The 10,295-nt window shown below is 38.7% G+C and overlaps 1 annotated feature.

The window, feature by feature from the left end:
- Window positions 743-1,244: an enhancer, noted in NCBI's record as "NANOG hESC enhancer chr6:66681097-66681598 (GRCh37/hg19 assembly coordinates)". NCBI's record gives its function as "activates a minimal SCP1, AML or CMV promoter by ChIP-STARR-seq in naive and primed H9 embryonic stem cells {active_cell/tissue: H9 hESC(naive and primed)}" and the evidence as "EXISTENCE:reporter gene assay evidence [ECO:0000049][PMID:30033119]".

A 10,295-nucleotide genomic window follows, 5' to 3' on the forward strand; every position in this document is an offset into this window, starting at 1 on the left:
AGAATGAAGAAATATTGATATCTATGTGTACATTTTACTGATTTGGCCAAAAATGTATATCTTCTATACTTCATCTATATCCAGGGTGATCTAGTTTATTCTTCAAAAAATGTAGAACAAAGATTAATAGAGGATGTTTACATGGTATTTCCTTAACATCAATCCCATTGAAAATGGTTAAAGTTGGCTGTTGATTTTTTTTGAGTAATGAGAAATAAGTTAAATCTACTATCTTAAATTATAATTTAAAAAATACTGATTATTTTCTTGATTATAACATTCAGTTATCTGTTGCTCGAAGTATATTTCCTTGAATATTAACAATACATGAGGCTAATAAGTCTAGAATCAATATTGTCCATTTCCTTCATTAAGAAAAGTTACTAATTTAGAGAAGAGAGAAAAGGAGAAGAAACAACAAAAACAAAATCTTTTGCTTCACCATGCACAGGCAGTCATAATATTTAAAAAATAATTGTAATTATGTTTCATATTCCTTTTCATCCTGTGTTACTATCATTAAAAGTAAGCAAATGACTAATCTCTAGAAAGGATAATTTACTGAGGTGCTCTGGGCTATTTTTTTTTCTTGTTTTCTCTATGTTTATGCCCATGCGACCTATACAGGGTATGTTATGGTAACATTACAGGCCTGTTAGGTCAATATTAAAATTTCTTTTGATTTTTATAATTAAAAACTATTTTTATTTTCAACTTTTTGTTTGTAAATATTATTGCTCTAAGATGCTTAGCCTGTAATTTTTTCCTACAGTTGACTTTATTTTGTTTACTTTATTTTTTACTCTTGATAACATTTCTTTTCTTAATACTGCGCTTTTCTGACAGGCTTAAAAAATGGCGCACCAGGAGATTGTATCCCGCACCTGGCTCGGAGGGTCCTACGCCCATGGAGTCTCGCTGATTGCTAGCACAGCAGTCTGAGATCAAACTGCAAGGCAGCAGCGAGGCTGGGGGAGAGGCGCCTGCCATTGCCCAGGCCTGCTTAGGTAAACAAAGCAGCCAGGAAGCTCAAACTGGGTGGAGCCCACCACAGCTCAAGGAGTACTGCCTGCCTCTGTAGGCTCCACCTCTGGGGGCAGGGCACAGACAAACAAAAAGACAGCAGTAACCTCTGCAGACTTAAACGTCCCTGTCTGACAGCTTTGAAGACAGCAGTGGTTCTCCCAGCACGCAGCTGGAGATCTGAGAACCAGCAGACTGCCTCCTCAAGTGGGTCTCTGACCCCTGACCCCTGAGCAGCCTAACTGGGAGGCACCCCCAAGTAGGGGCAGACTGACACCTCACACGGCCGGGTACTCCTCTGAGACAAAACTTCCAGAGGAACGATCAGACAGCAGCATTCGCAGTTCACGAAAATCCCCTGTTCTGCAGACACCACTGCTGATACCCAGGGAAACAGGGTCTGGAGTGGACCTCTAGCAAACTCCAACAGACCTGCAGCTGAGGGTCCTGACTGTTAGTAGGAAAACTAACAAACAGAAAGGACATCCACACCAAAAACCCATCTGTACATCACCATCATCAAAGACCAAAAGTAGATAAAACCACAAAGATGGGGGAAACACAGAGCAGAAAAACTGGAAACTATAAAAAGCAGAGTGCCTCTCCTCCTCCAAAGGAACACAGTTCCTCACCAGCAACGGAACAAAGCTGGACGGAGAATGACTTTGACGAGTTGAGAGAACAAGGCTTCAGACAATCAAAATACTCCTTGCTGCAGGAGGAAATTCAAACCAAAGGCAAAGAAGTTAAACACTTTGAAAAAAATTTAGACGAATGTATAACTAGAATAACCAATACAGAGAAGTGCTTAAAGGAGCTGATGGAGCTGAAAGCCAAGGCTCGAGAACTACATGAAGAATGCAGAAGCCTCAGGAGCCGATGCGATCAACTGGAAGAAAGGGTATCAGTGATGGAAGACGAAATGAATGAAATGAAGCGAGAAGGGAAGTTTAGAGAAAAAAGAATAAAAAGAAATGAACAAAGCCTCCAAGAAATATGTGACTATGTGAAAAGACCAAATCTACATCTGATTGGTGTACCTGAAAGTGATGGGGAGAATGGAACCAAGTTGGAAAACACTCTGCAGTATATTATCCAGGAGAACTTCCCCAATCTAGCAAGGCAGGCCAAGATTCAGATTCAGGAAATACAAAGAACACCACAAAGATACTCCTTGAGAAGAGCAACTCCAAGACACATAATTGTCAGATTCACCGAAGTTGAAATGAAGGAAAAAATGTTAAGGGCAGCCAGAGAGAAAGGTCAGGTTACCCACAAAGGGAAGCCCATCAGACTAACAGCGGATCTCTCAGCAGAAACTCTACAAGCCAGAAGAGAGTGGGGACCAATATTCAACATTCTTAAAGAAAAAATTTTCAACCCAGAATTTCATATCCAGCCAAACTAAGCTTCATAAGTGAAAGAGAAATAAAATACTTTACAGACAAGCAAATGCTGAGAGATTTTGTCACCACCAGGCCTGCCCTAAAAGAGCTCCTGAAGGAAGCACTAAATATGGAAAGGAACAACTGGTACCAGCCGCTGCAAAATCATGCCAAAATATAAAGACCATTGAGACTAGGAAGAAACTGCATCAACTAACGAGCAAAATAACCAGCTAACATCATAATGACAGGATCAAATTCACACATAACAATATTAACTTTAAATGTAAATGGACTAAATGCTCCAATTAAAAGACACAGACTGGCAAATTGGATAAAGAGTCAAGACCCATCAGTGTGCTGTATTCAGGAAACCCATCTCACATGCAGAGAGACACATAGGCTCAAAATAAAAGGATGGAGGAAGATCGACCAAGCCAACGGAAAACAAAAAAAGGCAGGGGTTGCAATCCTAGTCTCTGATAAAACAGACTTTAAACCAACAAAGATCAAAAGAGACAAAGAAGGCCATTACATAATGGTAAAGGGATCAATTCAACAAGAAGAGCTAACTATCCTAAATATATAGGCACCCAATACAAGAGCACCCAGATTCATAAAGCAAGTCCTGAGAGACCTACAAAGAGACTTAGACTCCCACAGTGGGAGACTTTAACACCCCACTGTCAACATTAGACAGATCAACGAGACAGAAAGTTAACAAGGATACCCAGGAATTGAACTCAGCTCTGCACCAAACAGACCTAATAGACATCAACAGAACTCTCCACCCCAAATCAACAGAATATACATTTTTTTCAGCACCACACCACACCTATTCCAAAATTGACCACATACTTGGAAGTAAAGCTCTCCTCGGCAAATGTAAAAGAACAGAAATTATAGCAAACTGTCTCTCAGACCACAGTGCAATCAAACTAGAACTCAGCATTAAGAAACTCACTCAAAACCGCTCAACAACATGGAAACTGAACAACCTGCTCCTGAATGACTACTGGGTACATAACAAAATGAAGGCAGAAATAAAGATGTTCTTTGAAACCAACGAGAACAAAGACACAACATACCAGAATCTCTGGGACACATTCAAAGCGGTGTGTGTGGGAAATTTATAGCACTAAATGCCCGCAAGAGAAAGCAGGAAAGATCCAATATTGACACCCTAACATCACAATTAAAAGAACCAGGAAAGCAAGAGCAAACACATTCAAAAGCTAGCAGAAGGCAAGAAATAACTAAAATCAGAGCAAAACTGAAGGAAATAGAGACACAAAAAACCCTTCAAAAAATTAATGAATCCAGGAGCTGGTTTTTTGAAAGGATCAACAAAATTGATAGACCGCTAGCAAGACTAATAAAGAAAAAAAGAGAGAAGAATCAAATAGACTCAATAAAAAATGATAAAGGGGATATCACCACCAATCCCACACAAATACAAACTACCATCAGAGAATACTACAAACACCGCTACACAAATAAACTAGAAAATCTAGAAGAAATGGATAAATTCCTCGATACATACACCCTCCCAAGACTAAACCAGGAAGAAGTTGAATCTCTGAATAGATGAATAACAGGCTCTGAAATTGTGGCAATAATCAATAGCTTACCAACCAAAAAGAGTCCAGGACCAGATGGATTCACAGCCGAATTCTACCAGAGGTACAAGGAGGAACTGGTACCATTCCTTCTGAAACTATTCCAATCAATAGAAAAAGAGGGAATCCTCCCTAACTCATTTTAGGAGGCCAGCATCATCCTGATACCAAAGCCGGGCAGAGACACAACAAAAAAAGAGAATTTTAGACCAATATCCTTGATGAACATTGATGCAAAAATCCTCAATAAAATACTGGCAAACTGAATCCAGCAGCATATCAAAAAGCTTATCCACCATGATCAAGTGGGCTTCATCCCTGGGATCCAAGGCTGGTTCAATGTGCTCAAATCAATAAATGTAATCCAGCATATAAACAGAACCAAAGACAAAAACCACATGATTATCTCAATAGATGCAGAAAAGGCCTTTGACAAAATTCAACAACCCTTCATGCTAAAAACTCTCAATAAATTAGGTATTGATGGGACATATGTCAAAATAATAAGAGCTATCTATGACAAATCCACAGCCCACATCATACTGAATGGGCAAAAACTGGAAGCATTCCCTTTGAAAACTGGCACAAGACAGGGATGCCCTCTCTCACCACTCCTATTCAACATAGTGTTGGAAGTTCTGGCCAGGGCAATTAGGCAGGCGAAGGAAATAAAGGATATTCAATTAGGAAAAGAGGAAGTCAAATTGTCCCTGTTTGCAGATGACAGGATTGTATATCTAGAAAACCCCATTGTCTCAGCCCAAAATCTCCTTAAGCTCATAAGCAACTTCAGCAAAGTCTCAGGATACAAAATCAATGTACAAAAATCACAAGCATTCTTATACACCAATAACAGACAAACAGAGAGCCAAATCATGAGTGAAATCCCATTCACAATTCCTTCAAAGAGAATAAAATACCTAGGAATCCAACTTACAAGGGATGTGAAGGACCTCTTCAAGGAGAACTACAAACCACTGCTCAATGAAATAAAAGAGGATACAAAGAAATGGAAGAACATTCCATGCTCATGAGTAGGAAGAATCAATATTGTGAAAATGGCCATACTGCCCAAGGTAATTTATAGATTCAATGCCATCCCCATCAAGTTACCAATGACTTTCTTCACAGAATTGGAAAAAACTACTTTAAAGTTCATATGGAATCAAAAAAGAGCCTGCATTACCAAGTCAATTCTAAGCCAAAAGAACAAAGCTGGAGGCATCACACTACCTGACTTCAAACTATACTACAAGGCTACAGTAACCAAAACAGCATGGTACTGGTACCAAAACAGAGATATAGATCAATGGAACAGAACAGAGCCCTCGGAAATAACACCACATATCTACAACTATCTGATCTTTGACAAACCTGAGAAAAACGAGCAATGGGGAAAGGATTCCCTATTTAATAAATGGTGCTGGGAAAACTGGCTTAGTCATATGTAGAAAGCTGAAACTGGATCCCTTCCTTACACCTTATACAAAAATTAATTCAAGGTGGATTAAGGACTTAAACGTTAGACCTAAAACCATAAAAACCCTAGAAAAAAACCTAGGCATTACCATTCAGGACATAGGCATGGACAAGGACTTCATGTCTAAAACACCAAAAGCAATGGCAACAAAAGCCAAAATTGACAAATGGGATCTAATTAAACTAAAGAGCTTCTGCACAGCAAAAGAAACTACCATCAGAGTGAACAGGCAACCTACAAAATGGGAGAAAATTTTCGCAACCTACTCATCTGACAAAGGGCTAATATGCAGAATCTACAATGAACTCAAACAAATTTACAAGAAAAAAACAAACAACCCCATCCAAAAGTGGGCAAAGGATATGAACAGACACTTCTCAAAAGAAAACATTTATGCAGCCAAAAGACACAAGAAAAAATGCTCATCATCACTGGCCATCAGAGAAATGCAAATCAAAACCACAATGAGATACCATCTCTCACCAGTTAGAATGGCAATCATTAAAAAGTCAGGAAACAACAGGTGCTGGAGAGGATGTGGAGAAATAGGAACACTTTTACACTGTTGGTGGGACTGTAAACTAGTTCAACCATTGTGGAAGTCAGTGTGGCGATTCCTCAGGGATCTAGAACTAGAAATACCATTTGACCCAGCCATCCCATTACTGGGTATATACCCAAAGGACTATAAATCATACTGCTATAAAGACACATGCACACGTATGTTTATTGCGGCACTATTCACAATAGCAAAGACTTGGAACCAACCCAGATGTCCATCAATGATAGACTGGATTAAGAAAATGTGGCACATATACACCATGGAATACTATGCAGCCATCAAAAATGATGAGTTCATGTCCTTTGTAGGGACATGGATGAAATTGGAAATCATCATTCTCAGTAAACTATCGCAAGGACAAAAAACCAAACACCGCATGTTCTCACTCATAGGTGGGAATTGAACAATGAGAACACATGGACACAGGAAGGGGAACATCACACACTGGGGCCTGTTGTGGGGTGGAGGGAGGGGGGAGGGATAGCATTAGGAGATATACCTAATGCTAAATGACAAGTTAATGGGTGCAGCTCACCAGCATGGCACATGTATACACATGTAACTAACCTGCACATTGTGCGCATGTACCATAAAACTTAAAGTATAATAATAATAAAATTTAAACAAATTGAAAAAATTATTGTTTTAGGGAAATAAGATTATCTAACAATTAAAATAATTTTGAGATGATGGTAATATTATTTTATGCCTTGATAAGACTTTGGGTTACACAGTGTAGACATTTCTACAAATCCATAGTTTAGTATACTTAAGATTTGTTTATTTCATTAAAAGTAAATTTACATAAAAAATATTGATCTGTAGTTAATGATATTGCTTAGTGTTGAACAGTTGAGCATGCTGTTTAGCATTGAAATGTACTGACATTTGCAATATTCTTTGAGATGTAAATAATAATAATATGAATGGATGTGTGGATATGTGAGAAATTGCAAATCTCAAAATGTTTATTGTAGGATCTAGATGTTGGGCATGATGGTGTTCACACCACAATACTTCCAAACTCTTTTGTGTTTGAAAATGTTTCATAATAATATGTCAGGCAAAAAATGACAAGTTAGACATGAAGAGTTTTTCCATTATGCTGGTATTCTCTACTACCAACTACCCAGATCAATTTTCTGCCCTCCCGTGCCCTGCTTTATGCTCCAGGAGGCTTGTGCCTGTGGCTACATCTTTCAGTATCCCTTGTACTCTGACTTCTTTTAAGAATCATACAGAAGTGGACAGAGAAAGGAATCTGGAGGATGGAGGGAGAAAACAAAGCTTTTTCTTTTTTCCTCTCTCATTATCCCTGTTGCACTTTCAGTGAGTGGCTGATGTTTTCATAATTCCATGCTTTCATTCTCTTTGGTAATTTATGTCTAGGGATAGTAACAGTTATAAATGTTACAAGTCTCTGTATGTCAACATACACATTGTTATATGTTACCTCCAAATTTTCCTACATCTCTATAAGTAGCCCTTCCTTAAAATAACACATAAATACGAATTGTGAATTGTGTGGTTCACCTTTTCTGCCAGTACCCTGATTGAGAAAGTCGATGGTATTAGAAATCATTCCAGAAAAGCCAACTTGTAGATGGGATTTTGAGATTGGATTTTTCCATATTTGATGACACATAAATGACCTTTTTGGTTGTGAGATCACGACATGGACAATCCACACATCCATCACCCCTGATGATAGGTGCTGGTAGACCAGCAAGTGTCAAGTTGGAGAGCAAATCGCTGTAGCTCTCCATCACTGGGGCAAACATGGAAATTACAGAAGTTGGTACTATGATTTGGATATGGTTTGTTTGGTCCCACTGAGTCTCATGTTGAAGTCTGATCCTCACTATTAGAGGTAGGCCCTGGTGAAATCACAGGGGCTGATCTCTCATGAACGGCTTAGTGGCATTTTTGAGGGAGTGGTGAACTCTCATTCTTAGTTCCTGGGATAACTGGCTATTGAAAAGAGCCTGGCACTTCCTCCATTGTGTCTCTCTTGCTTCCTCTCTTGCCATGTGATCTGCATCTGCACACATCTGCCTTCCTTAGCCTCCTTCTATGAGTGGAAACTGCTTGAGGCCCTATCAAAAGTCAAGCAGATGCAGGCTCCATGTTTTTTGTACAGCTGTGAGCCACATTAACCTTTATAAATCACCCAATCTCAGGTATTCCTTTATGGCAACACAAGCCAACAAAGACAGCTGGTGTTCTGGCTCTGTTGACTGAACTGGAGAGCTTACGAAAAAAAAAAAAAAAAAAAAGAACAAAAACAATACTGACTAAATGTTCATAGCTGCTATTTTCTTACCCTAGGCATTGTCTTAACCAAATTTTAGGCTTCTCTCCTTCCTACAGGTCCCTGAACTCTGTTTTCTCCCAAGCCTGAGCAAACACTAAAAAAGTGAAAATTTGTCCCCTTTATCGGTTTTTCTCTGAAAATCAGCTTGACACAGTGAAATTCTAATCCTATCATACCTCGTCGTTTTCTCTTGCTTGTCCAGCTTTCTCTGGAAATATCTGAAATATTCTGTTTATTTCTAATTATCCTTCCTTTACCCTATAAAAGAAGAAATTCTTATTCTGTTTGATTTTGAGAGGCTTGAAGACTTCTGAGAATGGAGGAGTTTTCTTATTCCAATAGTCTTTCTTCTGAATAAACCTACTTCCTGGATCTATTTTTATTTGACAGTTTCTGGTGTCTTGACTCATTTGGAATGCTGATGACTTCCTAGCCCTTGCTGTCTTCACCCAAGTATTTATGCCAGCTACTCAGGCCATTTTTGTTCTTCCTGGCCTGGGAAATAGGGACTCACGGTGATGAGTAACAACTCTTAATCCAGTGCTCCGGACATGTTTGCCTGAAGTTACATGACAGGAAGTTGCTTTAATTCTATTAAATGGTGTTCTTCACAGTCCTTTAAAGTCTGATCAGGATGTTTCCTGGTTTTTTACTGTTTGAGCAGAACATTTTATGGGTCTTTTACATGGATTGAGAATCTTCCTATATAGAAGTATTTTTGGCTTTTTTGTTTGAGTGGGGTTTTACTTTCTCACTCTTTTTGTTGAGTAGAATTCTCCCTGAATTTTTCTAGTACACAGAGAATATGTCTGAGTTTTCTTATCTCTTTTCAAGTGGAGATTTACTCCTTGACTCTCAAGTGGGAAATTCTGACTCTTTGGTGAAGGCTTTATTGTTTTCTGGACTCCTTGTCCAGGGATTGCCTAGAGCAAGTTCTTAGGCTCTTTAAGAACTATGGTGCAAGAAACCCTTTTGGATTTTAGATAGGCACTGTGCATGGAATGACTTTTTCCTGCTGTCTTTTTTCTCTACTTGATCTTGCTCCTCTTATAGATAACTCTCAATCAACTGGGCACTCTTCTTCCATCACTCCAGGTGCCTAGAGGTTTCATCACTATGGCATTAATTCTGTCCAACATCTTCAAAATGGCAAAAATCTTATTAAGAGTAATTTAGAATTACAGTCGGCACTTTGAGGCTTTGGGATCTCCCCAGGTTAGTTTATCTTTGAAGAGCTTTTGAATCTCAGGGGTCTAAAATTTATTGTAAACAATGATCTTTTTTTCTTGTTTTAAAGAAGCCAAAATGTGGTTTTTCCAATCAAATCTCAAGCAGCACCTTCAACAATCTCAATATTCCTTATTACAAACTATTTAGTCACTTAAAAACACCAGTCTTCCTCCAATGCTACTCCTGGTTTCCCCCCCAAATCTAAGATACACTTTCCCTGGACACTTGGCTTTCCTTTTCCTCCTGTTCTTCCAAATGTATTTCTGTCCCCCAACCCCATCTTGTTCTGACCCATCTTGTGTTTACCCTCTACTCTATTATCCCATCCAGACCCCATCAGTTTCTCAATTTCCTATGGTAGCCTGTGACCTCCATCCTGTTTCTCCAGTATTAGGACTCTGAGGATAAGTAGCTATTGGATTCCACTTAGCCTCTCCTCAACAGATTACTTTAAAACTTTTGCGTAGATATCATTTCTATGCTATAACGATTTTCAAACCCACATAAAAATAGAAAAAATTTCTACACAATTTAGGTTGGTCTTAGGGCTTATTCTTTGAGATTCCCAGATCTCTACCAATTTATTCAACTCCTTCTAGAATCTAGAGATGTCTCTTTATGTTTCAAAAAAGCCAATTGGGTTAGAGTTAATAACAATTTATGAATAAATCAGAGTATCACT

Source organism: Homo sapiens, chromosome 6, assembly GCF_000001405.40.
Source record: "Homo sapiens chromosome 6, GRCh38.p14 Primary Assembly".
NCBI lineage: Eukaryota > Metazoa > Chordata > Mammalia > Primates > Hominidae > Homo > Homo sapiens.